The 20,467-nt window shown below is 37.0% G+C and overlaps 2 annotated features.

Moving 5' to 3' along the window:
• Positions 489–988: an enhancer, noted in NCBI's record as "NANOG-H3K27ac hESC enhancer chr18:39324863-39325362 (GRCh37/hg19 assembly coordinates)". NCBI's record gives its function as "activates a minimal SCP1, AML or CMV promoter by ChIP-STARR-seq in primed H9 embryonic stem cells {active_cell/tissue: H9 hESC(primed)}" and the evidence as "EXISTENCE:reporter gene assay evidence [ECO:0000049][PMID:30033119]".
• Positions 989–1,490: an enhancer, noted in NCBI's record as "NANOG-H3K27ac hESC enhancer chr18:39324361-39324862 (GRCh37/hg19 assembly coordinates)". NCBI's record gives its function as "activates a minimal SCP1, AML or CMV promoter by ChIP-STARR-seq in primed H9 embryonic stem cells {active_cell/tissue: H9 hESC(primed)}" and the evidence as "EXISTENCE:reporter gene assay evidence [ECO:0000049][PMID:30033119]".

Below are 20,467 nucleotides of genomic sequence, written 5' to 3'. Positions count from 1 at the left end.
CTATTTTCACATATGCGCTCAGACATGCAGAAACAAACGCCAAAATGAATTAACTGGAATAGCCCTATTAATTTATGCTTTGACAGTAATGACCTTAAGACACAGAAGAATTATATATTAATTTGTTTCTAGTATATAGCACTGCTAAGTTAACACATTTAGGAGAATCCACTTCCCTGTCTCCAGCTGTGAGGGTAAATGAGGCCGACTGTGGCTGGAAGAGGTGTTCATTTGGGCAGTGCCCCACTAGATGGCAGGGTGGCTTCAGGGATGGACCCACTGCTGGCGGCTGCAAAACACCTTGTTTGCAGTCATTATTTGACACACTCAAAAATCGACAATTTTTCTCATGTTGTTCATTTGGAAATTATATTTAAACTTATTTATTTACATGAGCACATACATAACATGTATATTTACAAACAAATATGCCTACACTGTCCAAGATAAGGGTGTTTAAGAAACAATGCTTTCCCTCCACCAGCCTGGCTGACTTCTCTGAGACTGCATCCTTCTGCAGACCCCCAGTGGCTCCACACCAGGGCACACACCACCACCCAGCCTTATTGAGGCTGGGAAGGGGAGGGATGATTTTTGAAAGTCAAAGGGCATAATCCCTTCCAGGAGGGAAACTGTTTTTAACACATGGTTTGGTCAGTTAGGGGAACTCAGGAAAAAAAAAAATAAAGTGGAACAATAAGCATTTTACATTCATGCCCTCCCTCAGAGGGAAGATTAAAAGTAAAACCAGATTAGAGACTTGAATTTTATTCAAATCCTTTCTCCTCTTTCCTCTCCCTTGTTCTCTAATCTCTCCTATTCTTTTGCCTTCCTGTCTCTCCTGTCTTTGTTCCTATTTCTGTCAAATCTCCCTCCTCTTTCTTTTCCCTTTTCTCCTCAGTCTGAATTTCCACATCTCCCCTTTCTCGGTCTTCATTCTCTCGGAATTTGATGCTGTTGAGCTGCCTCTGATCCTGCATCCCTTTATGCAGCCCTTTCCTGTTAATGAATTGTTAAAATTTCATAGGGTTCAGTGACTGTGCTTTTCTCTGCTCCTGGACACTGCAGCTCGCAAGCTGCTTTCCCTCGGAACAGAAAAGTCACAGCTATGAGCTGGCTGACTACTCCTTGTCTGTAAACAGTTTTCCAGGATTTACACATTCAGTATGCAGGAAGGTCTTTCATTTGTTTGTTTGTTTGTTTTCCTTATTCAAGTTTAAGCAGGATTAGAATTTCAGTTAATGAAGGCTTCTGAAAAATGGTGACTCCATTCATGGCAGAGAAAAGTGAGATTCTAGCAGTCTTCCAAGATGCCTGGATTCTGCAGTTTTCTGCAGTGGAAAGATCTTAGGAAATCAGTGCAAGCCGAGGACTGTTTGACTACATTTTCAGAACGAGATTCTTTGTAGCACCTTCTGCCTCAGTTGCCTAGCAGGCAATCCTGTACCAAAAATTGTAGCTTTTAATGTATTTTCTTTTCAGATAAAATTAAAGTTACCTTCTTGATTGTTCTTTAGTCTAATTACACCCACAGGTTTTTGTGGTTGAATGTGCCATCTTCTCTTTTGGTTGGAGGATTCTTGCCTTAGGAATAATGTGTGGGTAGAAAAAAATAAAACACAAAACTCCCCAATAAATTGCAATCTAGATTAAAAGTGATCTTCTGCCTTAAAATCTACATATAAAATATGTAGGCAATTATATGCAGTTCCGTATCATGTGCAAATATGGTTATGACCCACTTCGATATTTTACATAAAGGTGTGTATTCTTCCGGAAAATTATGTTGTCTTCACATCTCTGACCCACTACAAGTTTTACATTTTACTAATAATATCAACTAAATGTTATTCCTCCCTTTATTACTTTGCAAAATTGTTGTTGATAGTCATTAATATATCTCAGGCACTTGAGATTCCGAAGTTCTTTCAAAAATTTCTGGCAAAGTTATATTAATTGGAGTTTCTTTGTTAAATATCTTAAATTTCTAATAATAGGAAAGCTATACATAGTATGCACATTATTTTCATTCGTAAAGAAATACTGCTTACACAGAACATCCTATTCTTTAAAGATGTTGGGTAACTCGATATTTAATATCCTCCCATCTCTTTTATTTTCCATTCTTTAACTTCCTTTTGTCCTGACTTTTCTCTTTACGTCTTTTCTATTCGTCACTGTGGTTCTTAATGAGAAATTTATGTCAGCAGTTTATCAAATAAAAAAGGAGAACCAGTGAATTTCCTTTTTCATCTTAGCATTTTCTTCAAACTAGAGATGCTGACCATTTGGAAACTGGTAGATAGGTGCTGACATTTTGTAAATTTGTGCCCTTACCATAAACCTCAACGAAGTCCTCTAGATTATTCCAGGGAAATCTTTCTTCTAAGCCAATACTGGACACATTTAGAGATCTAAGAAAAAATAAATTGTTCTCCTTCTGGTCTACTGTGGCACGCTTCCTGTTAGGAGAATAATTGAGCAGTTTATTTTAATCAGGAGCTCTTTTCAGAGCGGGGTGCTGGAGAGGGTTAATTGCTAGGGTGAAACAACTATGGGAGTTCAGCTTACTGGGGTGCTAATTGGGTAATAGGTGAACATAAATAGTGTGGAGAAACAGGAAATCAGAACATAGGAGGGAAAATGTAGATGTTAAGTTCCACAACCCTTATAAATGTAGTTAAGTCATAGGTGCTGCAAACCAGGTAGCAAGCTGTTTTCCTTTTGAAAATTTCAGGCTGCACGGCTTTGGCCACAATAGGCTAGGGAGGGAAAGGGAGGTGAGTTTCCTATTGAGTAAATAACCTTAGCTGGATCAGACAGTGTGGTTTTGGGTCTTCAGCATCATTGACGTGTGTTCAGGTAAAGCAGCTGTCTGTGAAGCTGGGCTTACTCTCAGTTATGGCATGACCGGAAGGCTCCAAGATGACCCCTTTCTGTATCTACTGAGAGTTTGTGCATCTTTTAATGGGCTTCAAAGCTGTTCAACTCGCAAATGAAAGTTAGGTTGAAATCATGAACATTTTTGGAAAAAAAAAACGTGGTGAATTGTTTCCACTTTTAAGTGTACTGAATTGAGAGCAAATCTCTTCAAGACCAGTTTAGAAGGAAAAAAGAAACTAGAATAGTGATCCGCAATCTTGGCTCCAAGCGAGAATCACCTAGGGAATGTTTATAACTCCCTGTGCTTAGGCCAGGCGTGGTGGCTCACGCCTGTAATTCCAGCACTTTGGGAGGCCGAGGCGGGTGGATCACGAGGTCAGCAGATCCAGACCATCCTGGCTAACACAGTGAAACCCCGTCTCTACTAAAAATACAAAAAATTACCTGGGCGCGGTGGCGGGCGCCTGTAGTCCCAACTACTCAGGAGGCTGAGGCAGGAGAATGGCGTGAACCCAGGAGGCGGAGCTTGCAGTGAGCCGAGATCACGCCACTGCACTCCAGCCTGGGCTACAGAGCAAGACTCCATCTGGAAAAAAAAAAAAAAAAAAAAAAAACTCCCTATGCTTCTAATAAAAGTCAGGGCCAGGTGTGGTGGCTAACGCCTGTAATCCCAACAATTCTGGAGGCCAAGGCAGGCAGATCACTTGAGCTCAGGAGTTTGAAACCTGCCTGGGCAACATGGCAGCACCTTGTCTCTATCAAAAATACAAAAAAATAAGAAATTAGCTGAGCGTGGTGGCACGTATCTGTAGTCCCAGGTACTTGGGAGGCTGGGGTGGGAGGACCGCTTTAGCCTGGGTGGCAGAGTGAGACACCGTCTCAGAAAAAAAAAAAAAAAGAATAATGGCTATCTCTTGAGAGGTTAGGTACCATCTGATCTGGGAAGGATGTCAGATGACCTACAAGATTAGTTTTGCCTGTTCTTGAACTTCATATAAATAGAATGACAAAGTATGCATATCTTTATGTGAAGCTTCTTTTGTTCAACATAATGGTTGTGAGATTTTTCCATGTGGGTCCATATCAGTAGGGATTTTATTGTTGTTGCTGCTGTCTATACATTATCCCATTTGTTCATCTATTCTCCTGTTGGTGGACATTTAGGTTGTTTCTAGTTTTTAGTTATTGTTAATGAAACTGCTGTAAATATTATTGTACATCATGTTTCTGATGGTCATATGCATTGGTCTTCCTTGGATATATAAGTGTAATTGGTGGACCATAGAGTTCTAAGACGTGTACCAATAAAGTAATATACCCAAAAGCTCATATTATATATATATTTAAAAAAACACTCCCTGTGCTCCGGCTGTGCTCATCCCAATTAAATTAGAATCTCTGAGGGTGGGACTCACACATCAGTAAACTGTAAAATACTCTGGGTGATTCTGATGTGCAGTCAAGGTTGAGAAGGATGGACTAGAGAGAAAAGCAGAGTTTAGAAGAGAGCATCTCTCCTGTAACTGTATGTGAGATATCTTGGAGGCATATCTTGGAGATATTGCACGTTTGGTTCTAGATCATCATAATAATATGAGTCACACAACTTTTGGTTTTTCAGTGCATATAAAAGTTATGTTTGGCCAGTTGCGGTGGCTCACACCTGTAACCCCAGCACTTTGGGAGGCTGAGGTAGGTGGATCACTGGAGGTTAGGAGTTCAAAATCAGCCTGACTAACATGTTGAAACCCTACCTCTACTAAAAATAAAAAAAAAAAAATTAGCCAGGTGTGGTGGCACATGCCTGTAATCCCAGCTACTCGGGATGCTGAGGCAGGAGAATCGCTTGAACTTGGGAGGTGGAGTTTGCAGTGAGCCGAGGTCACGCCATTTCACTCCAACCTGGGCATCAAAAGCAAAACTACATCAAAAAAAAAAAAGTTACGTTTACACTATACTGAAGTCTACAAAGTGGGCAATAGCATTACACCTAAAGAAACAATGTACATACCTCAATTAAAAATACTTAATTGCTAAAAAATGCTAATAATTATCTCCCTATTGCTTGTTTACCAATTAAATTCAAGTCATATTCTAAATTCTTTGCTGTCATTTCCACAATGTTCATAGCATCTTCACCAAGAGTAGATTTTATCTCAAGAAACTACTTTTTTTTTGCTCATTCATAAGAAGTAATCTTCTCTGCTCAAGATTTACCAAGAGATTTTAGCAATTCAGTCACATCTTCAAGATCCACTTTTAATTCTAGTTCTCTTGCTATTTCCCTCACATCTGTAGTTGCTTCCTTTGTTGAAGTCTTGAACCCTCAACGTCATCCATGAGGGTTGGAAGCAACTTCTTCCAAACTCCTGTTAATAACATTTTGACCTTCTCTCATAATTCATGGAGGTTCTTAATGGCATCTAGAATGCTGAATTTTTTCCAGAAGGTTTTCCATTTGCTTTGCCTATATCCATCAGAAGAAAGATTATCCATGACAACTATAGTCTTATAAAATATATTTCTTAAATAATAAGACTTGAAAGTCTTCTTGATCTTTGGGGTATAGAATAAACACGTTAACAGGCATGAAAACAACATTAATCCCCTTGTACATATCCATCAGAGTTCTTGAATGGCAAGGTGCCCTGTGACTGAAAAGTAATACTTTGAAAGGAATCTTTTATTTTAAGCAGTAGATTTCAACAGTAGGCTTGAAATATTCAGTAAACCATGGCATAAACTGAGCAGCTGTCATTCAGGCTTTGTTCCATTTACAGGGCACGAGCTGGGTAGATTTAGCATAATTCTTAAGGGCCCTAGGATTTTTGCAATGGTAAAAAAGCACCAACTTCAACTTAGGTTACCAGCTACATTAGCCCCTACTACTAGAGTTAGCCTGTTCTTTGAAACTTTGGAGCCAGCCATTGACTTCTTTTCTTTTCTTTCTTTTTTTTTCTCTCACTCCATCGTCCAGGCTGGAGTACAATGGTGCGATCTTGGCTCACTGCAACCTCCGCCTCCTGGGTTTAAGCAATTCTCTGTCTCAGCTTCCCGAGTAGCTGTGATTACAGGTGCCTGCCACCAAGCCTGGCTCTTTTTTTTTTTTTTTTTTTTTTGTATTTTTAGTAGAGAAGGGGTTTCACCATCTTGGCCAGGCTGGTCTTGAACTCCTGACCTCATGATCCACCTGCCTCGACCTCCCAAAGTGCTGGGATTACAGGCGTGAGCCACCATGCCCGGTCAACTTTTTCTTTATAACCGTGAAAATCCTAGACAGAGTCTTCTTCCCACAGAATGCTGTTTTGTCTACACTGAAAATATGTTGTTTGGTGTAGCCACCTTCATTAATTTAGCTAGATCTTCTGGATAACTTGTTGCAGCTTCTACATCAGCACTTACTGCTTCATCTTGCACTTTTATGTTATGGAGATGGCTTCTTTCCTTAAACCTCATGAACCAACCTCCGCTAGTTTCAGACACTTTTTTTCTGCAGCTTTCTCACCTCTCACGGCCTTCATAGAATTGAAGAGAGTTAAGGCCTTGCTCTGGATTAGGCTTCAGTTTTTGGAAATATTCTGGCTGGTTTGATCTTCTATCCAGACCACTAATACATTCTCCATGTCGGTTGTTTCTCTTTCTTATCATTTGTGTGTTCACTGGCATAGCACTTTTAATATCTTTCAATAATTTTTCTTTTTCATTCAGAACTTGGCTAACTACTTGGTGTGAAAGGTGTAACTTTCAACCTATATTGGTTTGACATGCCTTCTTCACTAAGCTTAATCATTTCTAGCTTCTGATTTTAAGTGAGAGACTTGCAACTCTTTCTTTCACTTGAATACTTAGAAGACATTGTAGGGTTATTAATTGGCCTATTTTCAATATTGCTGTGTCTCAGGGGAGAGGGAGTGAGATGGGGGAATGGCTGGTTGGTCGAACAGTCAGAATACACACACACTTATTGATTGATTATGTTTATTTTCTTGAATGGGCACAGTTCGTGGTAACATCAAAGATTACTGATCACAGATCACCATAACAGATATAATAATAATAATAAAGTTTGCCAAAATGTGACACAGAGACATAAAGTGAGCACATGCTGTTGACAAAAATAACTCTAGTAGAGGTGCTTTACACAGGGTTGCCATAAACCTTCAATTTTTTTTTAAAAAAAAAAACGCAGTATCTGTGAAGTATAATAAAGTAAAGCACAGTAAAATGAGGTATGTCTATAGTATAATTGTTTTGTGCTTTAATGTCATACTTTTGAACTCCTCTAAGGGATAAAGAGTTTGCAGGGAATGCAGACTTATTAGAAAGCAATGTAATTATTGTGCTAGTGGCTTAGGGAAAGAGTTATTTTTTAGACTAGAGTTAAGAACTGAGTAAGAAGAATCCTGGATGAGTGAGAGAGGGGACTCAGTCTCTCTTTGTTTAGAGTGAGAAGGGTGAAAATATATGAAAATGTTCTGTATTCTATACCACTGTACCTCTGAAATGTCTAATATGATCACTGGGTAATATCTCTTTACTACTCCTTCTCACCAGGAAATGCCACCCCGATTAATAAGCTCACGTCTTAGACCAGTCTGGGGTAGGTGCATTTGAACTTCAGAAAATCCATTAATTTCTCAAGGTCTCCTTCGTTTTATCTTGGGAGATTGTATTAATTTCCTATGTCTGCCAGTCACAATTTGTTTTCTTAGAAACAGTAAATTTGTTTTCTTACAATTCTGGAAGCCAAAGCCTAAAGTAAGTATCACTGGACAGAAATAAAGGTGTTGGCAAGACCATGCTCCTTCCAGTGGCTTTAGAGAGAATCTGTTCCTTGCTTCTTCCAGTTTCTTGTGGCTGCTGGCCTTCCTTGGCTTATGGCCCCATCACTTCAATCTTCTAGGCCAGCATTTTCAAATCTCTTCCTACTCAGTCTTCACACTGCTTTCTTCTCTGGGTGTGTGTCACATCTCTTTCTGCCTATTCTTATAAGTATACATGTGATTGCCATTATGTCCCATGTGAATAGTCCAGGATAATTTTCTTTACCACAGGATAATTTAATCACATAAGGGAAGACTCTACCATATACAGTAATATTTATGAACCCCAGGGAGTAGGACCTAATATTTTTTGGGCCATTATGCAGTCCACCACAGAGGTCTATGAGTTCTCCTTGCTGCTATGCCATATAAGGCTAATGTATTTGATCATTTAGCTCAGAATTTCCTCATCTGTTAAGCAGATGCCTCCTCAGACTCTGAAACTCACCTGAACCATTTTCTTCCTCCAATTTTGCCTAAGTAATGGGAACGGAGCTTCTGGAAAGTACTGGATGTTGGGATAGTAGGGATCTTCATACCTATTAGGGGAGAGAGTAGAATGTGTGCAGGAAGAAAGGAAGGAGGGAAGGAAGGAAGGGAGGGAGAGAAGGAGGGAAAGATGAAGAAAAGGAGGGTGGGATAAAGGAAGAAGGGGAAGGAGGAAAGAAAGTAGGGAGGGAAGGGGAAGGAAATAAATTTGTACCAATGAATTTTGACAGTTAGTGGTAGTCTAAAGACTATGATTATTGCAGTCACCTGAACTTGAGGTCCCCCAAATTTATTTCTGTAACCCAGTGCATTTTTTTTTGTGGTAATTTGTGACAGCAGCCATGGAAACGAATACAATCTCTCAAGGTAAAATGAAAGAAAAAGAATAAAGTAATAATAGCTGTTTATGAACCTTCTTTTGCCAATAGTTTTAACCTAATTTCTTCTAATCCTCTTCATCTGGGCTTCCAAATAGTATTTATCATTCACTAATCTATTCATCAGCCATCCATCCATCCATCCATCCATCCATCCATCCACCCACCCACCAGAAGTCACTCGTCAAGCACTAACTCTGTGTAAAGTATGAACATACAGTATTGTGTAAGCACTGGAATACAAACATAAATTTTAGGGACCTCAAATTCAGAAGACTGCAATAAACACAGTATTTAGTGTATTATTAACTGTCATAATTCATCGTCACAAATTTCTTTTCTTCCTCTTCCTTCCCTCCTTCCCTCCTGCCTTCCAACTGTCCTCATTTTCATATTATTCCCTTGCCTAGGCAACCATGAAAAAGCATTTATTAAATATTCTTAAATTTGCATCTTTGTAGAATATACATTGTTGATTTGCATATGCAATTTTACTTTTCAAAAATGTTGTGCTATGGAATTGATAATGTTTCTCAGTTTTTAAGCTCAACATGGTGTTAAAAGATTCATCTCTTTTGCTTATATGTCCTTTTGTTGTCATTGCTTCTAATGGCACTGTAATATTCCATAATATGCCTTAACCACATTTTACTTTTTTCTACCTCTAGCTATGAAAACCTAAGTTGTCTCCTTTTCTATGCTACAATGAATATCCTTATAGGTGCCATAGACATTATGCTGAATCATAGACTATAAGTTTACTTAACTTAACGTCTCTCTGCATTCACAGTGCAAGAGGGTACTTCTTTCTCTATAGTCCCAGTAACTCTTGGTATTATCAAACATTCTAGTTTTTTTATGCAGGTAAGTGTACAGTATCTCATCATTATGATTTATATTTATTTGATTATTATTGAGCTTGAATATCCGTTCATATATTTGATAATCAGTTAGAACTAACTTCTGTAAATTATCTGTACATTTTTTGGCCACTTTTATTTAACTTTCCTGTCTTTTTATTGTTGATTTGCAGGAATATCATTCATATATACAGCTATACTATCCATTGTAGTAGCAACTAGCCATTTGTGACTATTTAAATTTAAATTAACTAAAAGTTGAATAAGATTAAAATTCAGTGCCTTACTAACATTAGCTACACTTCAAATTCTCAATAGCCACGTGTTTACTACATGGCTACCATATTGGATAGTGCAGAATATTTCCATTACCATACAAAGTTGCTTTGGACAGTGCTCTTCTAGAGATATTAGTTTCTTATTAGTTTTAGACGTGATTAATATTTTCTCCAAATCTATCAACTGCTTCTGTGATGTGGCAGATTAAAGATGGTTGCCCATTCTTTGACAATCCTCATAATAAGTATAGTGTATATCCCCTCTCCTTGGATCTGGGACTCTTTTTACCAATAGAATAGCATAGAAGTGACATTGTGCAAGTTTCTTGGTGAAAGATACACTCAACTGGCAGCTTCTACTTTCTGTCTCTTGGAGCAATCTCTCTGGGAGCCCTGGGCCTTTATGTCTGACTACTCTGAAACAACAGTGCTGGAGAAGTCACATGCAAGTGCTCTGGTTAACAGTACCAGCTGAGCCCAGTCTACCAGCAATCTCTATTCAGGCACCAGACAATTTAGAGAAGTTCTCTTGGCCAGCCTATATGCTGAGTATGACCAAATAAATTCATCCAATTAATGTGAAATCGAAGAATTATCCAGCTGAGCCCTTCTTGCATGCCTGACCCACAAAATCACGAACTACAATAAAATGTCTTTTTAACTCACTACATTTCAGGGTTCTTTTGTAATGCAGCAGCAGATAACCAGAGTATATGATAGCCTTTAAAAAACAGAAATTCTAAATTTTTAGGTAAGTAATGCAGTTTCATATGCACATGATTGTATAGCAGCTATGAATGATAGAGCCTTAGCAACAGTTAGACAGGAGTTTGGATAACGGCTCTGCCAGTTAAGAGGCGTGGGACTTTGTCAGGTTAGACATATGATTTTCACTATCTTCATCTATAAAATTTGGAAGCGAATACAACACAACACTAAGATTGGGATGAGAGAGAAATGAGATAGCAGATGTTAGGAAAGCTCATAACACAGTGCCTAACTCATGAAGGGAACACTCTAATTAAGGAATGTGCAAGGTACAGATGTAGCACAAAGGATAGATGACTGGCTCTGCTTGGCCAAGTGAGGTGAGAGAAGCTCTCAGGAAGTCTGTCAGCTAGTCTCTCAGAACTGAAGGGTTAGCTGAGTATTAGAGGTGAGACAGGAGTTTACCAGACTAACTTAAGGGTGAAATGACATCCTGGGTAGAGCAGTCATGCTGCACTAAAGCAGGCTCAACCTCATTTGTTTGTTTGCCCAAAATTTCTATAACTATATTTTTATTTTCACATTTTTTTGAAGATTATTTAATGATAGAGGAAAATGCACATCACACTGTTAAATGAACAAAACGAAGGCACAACAGCAAGGTTCCAAATCTGCTAGAAATTGTAGACATTTGTAAAGTTTAAAGAATGGAAGAAAACATCTCAAAGTATTTACCATAATTATCTCTAGGTGATCAAATCATAGGTTATTTTCTAAATTCCATCCTTACTTTTTTGGGTGTCTTGCAAATTTTTTATAAAGTATAACTACTTTTACAATAAAAAAGCCAACACATCTCAATACAAAGACATTCATTTCAAAAATGAACATTTTCAAATGTCCAAAGAAGACTCAAGTAAAGAAGGAGGTCTCTCTGTTGAAATGCTCTGCAGGGTGCATACAGTAGCTTGTGCCTGTAATCACAGCACTTTGGGAGGCCAAGTCAGGTGAATTGCTTGAGCTCAGGAGTTCCAGACCAGCCTGGGCCAAAAGATGAAACTCTGTCTCTACAAAAAATATGAAAAAAATTAGCCAGCTTTGGTGGCATGCACCTGTAGTCCCAGCTACATAGGAGGCTGAGGTAGGGGAATCACCTGAGCCCAGGAGGTCAAGTGAGCCATGACTGCACCACTGCACTCCAGGCTGGATGGCAGAGTGAGACACTCTCAAAAAAAAAGTTGTTTTTTTTTTTTTATCTCACATCTAAACTATTGGGCTCCAACAGGTTTGATACTTTCAGTAGTCTTACAATTAGAGACAGATTATCTCAAAAAATCGTGTCCAGCAAGCAGATTTTCAGCTGCTTAAGTCAGGTTTATGTTTATACTCAATTTAATGAGGACAGATGTTGTGGGATTCTCTGCCAGGGCTTTGTCTGTCTTCTACCCTCTGCTCACATGCTGAACTGTCTCTGATGCTAGGGTTTGCTAACTATGCTCAGAGATCACCCCACATGAGCTTCATATGTTGGGACTATTTTTTTAAATTCCTATATAATTCTATTTTCTTTATTGTATTATCTGCTGGTGTTAAGTTTTGTATCCTTAGAGGAATCAATACGTTTTTTTACAGCTTGACTTGTAAGTGAGTTTCTATTCTTGCCCCTGGTTCTGAGAAGAAATTCCTTTGCTTGTGGGATCCACAGGTCACCACATACATGTCAATGGTGATAGTGATCAGCCTCTCCCTTGAATCCCAGTGAGTCGGCCCTGAGCCCCATTCTTAAAGAAATATTGTATCGATCAAGGCATCTCTGCTAACAAAGCAATTTTAATCTTGGGTCTTGGTTCACAGATGGATATGATAGGATCTTAATGGATACCTGGTTGAATGCTTGAAGGCAACTTCTAAAAGTCATTCATTCTTAATTAGGTTTGCTTTTCATCATCAAATTCTTTCTCAACACTGAAATTCTGGATTCTGGAAAAATCACTGGGAATTATAGTCCTTTGGAAGATGTACTAAGCCAGATGCCCGGAAGTTTCTATATAATTTTTATTCTTTTGCTGTCCTTGGGCCTGTTACATCCCTATACTGTACTTTTAACATTTGTAGACAAAAATAAATCTATATACTTCATGGGGCTGTGATGATGTTGATGATTCTACACTGGTTATTTTTTCTCTGGCTTTTCATTTCATAAAAAATAAGGTCTTACCATCAATGCAGTGTATTTAAAGATTTCAAAAACACAAGCCCATCCTTCATTGCCACTTCCCATCTATCTTTTTCCTTATACTCTCTGGATAAGTCATTCACCAGACTCCTCACAATTTTATAATGAGATCATATATTTTTCAGTCTTAGTCCCATGTTATTCTCTTAGTCCAAAATATCCTTCACTAAGATTCAAAATCTTGGAAGCCTTTCTTGTCCAAAATCTCAGAAATGTTTTGCTCTCCAGGAAGGCTTTATAGAACTCACCATTCAGAATGACTGTCTCTCTGTTCTGTTTCCCTACTGCGTTTTGCTTTTGCATTCTTCCTAGTGCTTTGGCAACCATGCCTATAACATCATAAGATACATACATGTCTGTTTTCTTAGTTAGGTTATGAGGTTTTTGCAGACAGAAACATACATTGACATTTTTGTGCCATCTCTCAGGTTCCACCCCAGTTGCATCTATCACATTGCTGATACAGAATACCAAATGAGTTTTGAATTGAATGGGCAAGAGAGCACCTTGAAAAATAGAAAGCAATGTGCAAATCCAAGATACTTAAAATTTCTTCACCTTCTACTCAGTAACAGACTGTTTCTAATTGGCCTTCTTTCTCTGCTGATAGTCTACCCATCTTTCAGCTGGTTTGACATTTGAAGAAAGTCCATATTTTGTTGTCTTGCTCACCCAGAGAAGAATGCCACTCTTCCTGTCCCTAACCGTGTCTTAAGAAAATTCCTTTCTTTCAGCAGATTCCACCTCCCACTGCACTCACTATTCTGTAGATATTTAGGAAACTTATTAAAGGAAGAAAAAAGAAAACTTTTAGAAAAGCTTATTTTAAAAACAACCCTCTTTTTTTTTCTTTTAACCTTTGGATATATTGACGAGCCGATCAAGCTCTATATGGCAGGAAATGAATCAAACTACAAATATTGATCCAGAAGCATGTTTGTTGCTGATCAGAGATAACATTACTTGTAAAAATGTTCATTTTGGTCAATATTTATTTCTTTCTAAAGTTACACAATTATGTTTTCTTCTCTTAAACTCGATTTGTCCAATTTGCTATAATGCAATTTCCTGTACCTATGTATAATTTATTTATATGATTAGTGTATCCTCTGTGGAAACTTAAACTGATATAACTTCTTTTGAACAACATATCTGGGGCAGTTATGATGTGTTATCATCAGCTAAGGGAAATACTTTGCCCATGACTCACAAAAACAAATGTGAGCAAACAATTGCTTACAGTGATCAACTTTCATAGGGTAGTTCTAGCAAGGGCAGAGATGGACAAAATTTATGCTAATCATGTAACTAAATTATCCCAATATTAAACATAGCTAAATCTATTCTTTGGTAATAAGATAATGGTAGTTAACAAACTAAAGGATTTTAAACTATTGTTTATTATCTTTGGCGTATTACAATCATTGACTGGTTCACATAATGAATATACTGTTTATGCAGGTGATAGAGAGGCTAAATAATAATCTAGTAACAGTGAGCATAGGCAATCTTTGCTCAAAGAGCATTTACAAGGTGTCTGGGGTATGTACAATACTGTGCTTGTTGTTGAGAGAAACATAAATAAGCTAAAATGTGTTTCTGTAAAGTTTATACCAATCCATATACAGAGCCTAAAATAGCCCTGTGATATGTAATGTGCTTCAATTTTCTCACCTAACTCTATGTAAAATGAATAAAAATAAGTCCTAGGTTATTTCAGATCTGAGAAATAAGGGAAGATCTGATGGAAACAGTTGAACTTGAGATCATCTGTAAAAATGAATAGTACAGGCATGTGGAGAGGTTGTGAGAGGCCACGGCTAGAGGAGCAGTTGCAGCCTGAGCAAGTTCAGGTTGCTGGAAACAAAAACAGTGTTAAAGTGTTAGCCACGCTGATGAGAAATCAGACATGTTCATTGGGAGAAACTAGAAATAATGCCAGAAATATAGACTGGGTCCAGTTGATGGACCATCTTGTGGTAGGGTAAAAATAATAACACTATTATGAGTTTGGAGTTAGTAGAGATTATTTTCAATAACTTTCTGTGGATTTGAGCAAGTCATGTAGCTTTTGTGTGTCTCAATTGCCTCATCTATAATAGACATTAACTTTGAGAGATAACTTTAAATTATTTTTAAGTATAATAAAATGTATTTAGTTTATGATACTCCTATAATATATGTCAACTTACATGGGGAACGTAACTCTGCTAAGTGCTCACTGGTACTTTATAAATGTACTATAAACTCTATGCATTGTAGAAATACAAGTTAACATAATAATCATCACTGTTGTCATTATTATTAATAAAATTCATCAGTTGAGGAGGTGTTTTTTTTAAGTAGTAGAGAACAAATGAATTTGTTTTACAATAGGGAAGTGTCTGAAGGAAAATAACACTGTAGCAGGAGTGACTCTAAAATTTATGAGGATGTCACATTAAGGAAATATTTGTAACATATAAACAAAATAATTCACACACCTACTACATAAGAAGGTCTTATCCCTCTCAAAACAAATTGAACAAAGGACATGAACAGAAAATTCACAAAGAATTTCACGTGACTCTACTGGGCGTCTACCCAGAGGAAAAGAAGTCATTACGCGAAAAACATATTTACACACCCATGTTTATAGCAGCACAATTCGCAATTGCAAAAATATGGAACCAGCCCAAATGCCCATCAATCAACGAGTAAAGAAATAAAGAAATTGTGATATATATATATGTACACACACACATATATACATACGTATATACATATATGTGTATACAAGTATTTATATGTATATACATATGTATATATATCACAATTGTATATATGTATGTATACATGTATTTATACACAATATGTATATATGTATGTATATATGTGTATACATATATGTATGTGTATGTATATGTATATACACATATATATATGCCATGGAATACTACTCATAAGAAGGAATGAAATATTGGCATTTACAGCCACCTGGATAGAACTGGCGACCATTACTCTAAGTGAAGTAACTCAGGAATGGAAAACCAAACATCGTATGCTCTCACTCATAAGTGAGAGCTAAGCTATGAAGATGCAAAGGCATAAGAATGATACAATGGACTTTGGGGACTCGGGGGAATGGGTGGGAGTGGGGTAAGGGATAAAAGAGTAAAAATTGGGTACAGTGTACACTGCTCGGGTGATGGGTGCACCAAAATCTCAGAAATCACCACTAAATAACTTATTCATGTAACCAAACACCATCTGTTCCCCAAAAGCCTATGGAAATAAAAATTAAAAAATTTTTAAAAACAGAAAGAGGTACCAAAAAAAAAGAATTTCAAGTGACTGATACACTTAAAAATTTATGAGTCATAAAAACTTGTTTAACTTATAATGTATAATAATATAGAAAGATATGTAGAATATACAAATGCTGTTTCAAATTTAACTCCACTGTGTTGTCTATATCTACAGGAACATAATCACACATAGGCATAGAAATAAATATAGGCATGAGTGAAAGTACATTATAATGTTATAGAAAATGTGTGGATGACAGGTTTATACTCCTATTTTGTTTATTTCTTCTGAACTATCTTTTTCAGATTTTCTGAACCAACTATATATTTTGTAATAATACAAAAAATAATAAAAACTTGGTGGCATGGATAAGATCACTGGATGTGGCTCCCTAGGGAGAGGAAATTGGATCACCATGGTGAAGTTTTTATTCTGGCTTACTCTTAGGGTGCACATGAAACTCATGACTTTTGACCTACAGCAAACTCAGAGGTTTATCATCTATTGACCTGTATTTGATTTTCTATCCTAATGGGAGTTCATTTGAATTTGAACAATCAGTCTGTTATTTAACTACCTGACTCTGCCTCTTCAAAGACAAAATAATATCACTGAAGTTTGTTTTGCAGTAATTCTCTACACGTTTCAAACTTTCATGATAACGTAAAGCCTTAAAAGCACTAGAAAATATTATTGTCATTTTTTGACAATGCTGTAATGGAAATTAACTCAATGATAAAACTTATCTGTTGAATATGTACTTACTATATTTATTCGTACACTTTAATGGTCAGTTAACACTGCCTCTTGGCCAGCGTGGTCATCTGTTCAAAGAATTAAAGTTAACACAGTTCTGTTCTTCCAAACAATTGACCTTGTCCCACAATTGTTAAATTGCTACAGATAAACAAAACTATAATTTATAAAAGACTTTGTTCAATCACACCATGGTACCCATGCTTAAAAAGGGATTTTAAGGTCAGTCTCCCTGTTCAGCCCCTATGCTTCCTTAATACCCCGGGAAGGGGTAAGGACAGTTTGTGGTTAAATGTTTAACAACTGGTTTTCTCCAGAGGAAATACAAGTGCTGATTTGTAGCATTTGCCTGTTCTTGTGGTGTAAATATTGTCACCATAGCCAATTTCAAGATCCCATTGTCACTGAACATGGTTGGAAAGAGAAATGCAGTTAGCTCTCTCAAGTCAGTACGAGCCAGCTGCACCCCTAGCTACCTGCACTGCATGCTGCACTTACATCTTTCATTGTATAGATCACAATGTGTTCATTATGCCTGTCTCTTTCCAACATAAGAGGTTATGAAGTTATTAAAGGAAAGAACAATGTCTTGTTCATTTTTGTTTCCCTAGCACATCAAACAATGGTGGGCATATAGTAATATTTATTGAAAAAAAATTCTTTGAGCAATATCATTTTTGTGTTAATTAGAGAATGAATAGGGAAAACTAAAGAATTTAACAGTCTGAGCTAAAGAATTGAAAATATTTTTATACACAATACTTTGTTCGTAAGTATTCAGGCATCAGCCTTGTTTACAAAAATGCAGTAAGTACCATTTGACGAGGTAAAAATATTTAGTATTGTTATTTGGGAGCATTTGGCTTAAGAACATAAAGGAAAGGAGATAAATATAAAGACATAGTGTTAGTAAAAGAGGAATATTTCTGTGGCTAAAGCTAAATACCTGGGAAAAAAGCAATTTAGTTTCCCAATATTAATTATTGGGCCATATCCTGCTATTGATTTGAGCATGTAAAAATCAATGCTAAGATAAGGACCTTCATAATTGACAGGAGTAATTTTGAGGTATATACTCATTGACATTCAAAGAGCCAAGAGACAATGAAGACATTATGGATGAGCAAACTTTGAATTCATCTGAAGTTTTAATAACTACTTCTCAAACTTTTAAAGGAAGTGGGAAAGGGAGAGGATAACAGAAGCATATTACAATATTTTATTCCCTATTGTTTCCTGGTTTGCGATATATGTGTATACATATATATATAAAATACATATATATAAAATACATATATATACATATATTATACAAATACACACACATGTTTAACATTTAACAGTATCTTACATTCTTAAAGTGTATTTTAATTTTAGAGAATTCTTTCACATTCATGTTTGAGTCTAATTTAACCTGTGGGTTTCAAGCTATGGATAGAGGCCATGCAGGTATTTTTCTCATTTTCTTTTTTCTTTTTCTTTTCTTTTCTTTTTCTTTTTTTACAGATGAGGAATGAGAGTACAACCCTGGAGTCTGACTTTTACTTATTGCTTTCTACTTTTTACTAGAATGAATTTTCTCCCTCATGTGTGTTTGTGAGTATACTGACTTCTTGCTTGGAAAGATAAAAGTATGGAAGAATTTATGAGGGAACCCTAATAAGCTTATATCTTCTGGTGAAAAACAATCCTTTTTCCTCCTATTTGTTTCCCTTGTGCCTTCTCTTTTGGCTCATGATGACTGTCTACTTGGCAATCCAATGGGATACTTGCAGCAAGTAAACAGCATAGCCAACAAGAAAAGAAAATCCACTGGTTTAAGACTTTTTTTTTGCCTACTTGGATTATTTATCACTTCAGCTAGGTGCAGGGCACAACAAGACTTCTTTATGTAGCTCAGGACTCATCTGACTTTATCTTACCCCATATGTCAACATTCAAATAACATCCTACTTATTTTATTTCTTTGAGGGATAACATTTACAAATCTCTCAACTTCATTTTTTTCTTTTTTCATCAATCTCTAGATTTAAGCACTTCCATTTCCTTGTTATGCAAAAGAAATAACATGCAACTCTCCTTCCCTGTTTACTTAACCTTAAGCAGTGAATAAAAAATTTAAAACTAAAATATTACTATTTGTATAATCTTACCCATAATTTTTGTCTTGTACAAAGTTTTCAAAGCTGTGCTGGTATAGTGTGGTTAAAAACAAGCTGGACTCAAAGAGAAATGTGATGAGAACCTACAGGTGTTTCTTAGTCAAGGAAGACTTTGCTACAAGGAACAGAAACCCACTAAAACTGGCTCAAATAGAAAAGAACTTTAATGAAAGGCCCTAATAGGCATTGTTGCAGCTAGCAAAGTTCATAAAATTAAGTCTTGCTTAGGCATCGATGAAAGGATTGGAATAGGCAAGATGTGAGTAGAACCTGTTCGCTCAACTACTGGTGGAGCCACGTGGTCTCTGCTTCTATTAGGCCCTTTGCATCCCTAAACCGTTCTGTTACTTGTTTCACCTGGCTTACAACACTAATGGCCTGCCTACTCCCCTTAACTTCCTTCTGTGCTTCCCTTCCATTTACCTTGTTGGTTACTCTTTCTTAACAACGCAATTTCCCAATGTAAGAGCTAACTACCTTCCAACTGACTTTTGTCTAAATTCTGACAAGATACAATTTCATTGCCAGCATGATCTGGATATTCATCCCCGGGGCTAGAGTTATGAGCTGCCCTTTCCAGGTTCTCAGGAGGAGGCAACTTCCCTAAGAAGTGGGTGAGGTGGGAGATGCAATAATTTGGAAATTTTAGCACACAGGGATTAAAAGGATAGATGACAAAACTGGAAGCCCTTGAAATTGAAACCTTCTTCAGTGTACTATATTGAGAGTCATAAGTAGGGAAATAAAGTCAGTTAAGAATGAAGATAGTTTGAAAATGTATATTATTGTATTTTACCCCCTAAGAAATTAGGGCACTTTGATAGGTTTTGATTTGGGGTGTATTGCATGCAAGAAATATCCTAAGAGAGTTTTATGGGATAAATTACACCCTGGGGCAGTAGATGTTTAGAATCATAGAAGGGGAGGCCATTAGCATATCAAAATTGTATATATGGTATAACTATTATGTAAAAGGTAATTGATAACTGCATGTTGTGGCTTTTTATGTTCCCTATTTGACTCCACGTGGCAGAGGATATTTTCCCCCTCCCTCCCTCCCTCCCCACCATTGAAGAGAAATCACATTGTCTTCCTAAATGATTGTGTATAGCTTGAGTCATTTGAAAAAATAGCATACATCACATCATTTTGCCCTATATTTACTTATATGTTAAGGGTGTTTCTGTTCCCCCAGTATAGTATACATTTTTTGTGGATATGATATTGTATTTCTCCCATCTTTGTATCTTTATCATCCTTGAATTTAGTACAGTGTCTGAGACATTTTCTCAATAAATGATAATTATCTTTTCTATTCAGGGAATATTTTGCTTCCACTTAAAGAAATCTTCCAACTGAATTTAAAGAAGACCACACTGTGATTAAGAGGATGTTGGAGTGTAATAAAGATGAGAAGACAGCAAGAGATGAACCATATTTGGGGGTACTAAAACAACCTATAAGTATGGTCACAGAGCCTCTCACAGGGTGGATCTTTGGGTCTCCATGGAGAATGTAAGAGGTGGTAAAGAATGAGGGCGGGTTCTCACTCATAGGTGGAATTGAACAATGAGAACACTTGGACACAGGGTGGGGATCGTCACACC

The sequence above is a fragment of the Homo sapiens genome, chromosome 18, assembly GCF_000001405.40.
Source record: "Homo sapiens chromosome 18, GRCh38.p14 Primary Assembly".
Taxonomy (NCBI): Eukaryota; Metazoa; Chordata; class Mammalia; order Primates; family Hominidae; genus Homo; species Homo sapiens.
The sequence above is the reverse complement of the archived record's forward strand: the minus strand, read 5'-3'. Positions and strand labels throughout refer to the sequence as shown.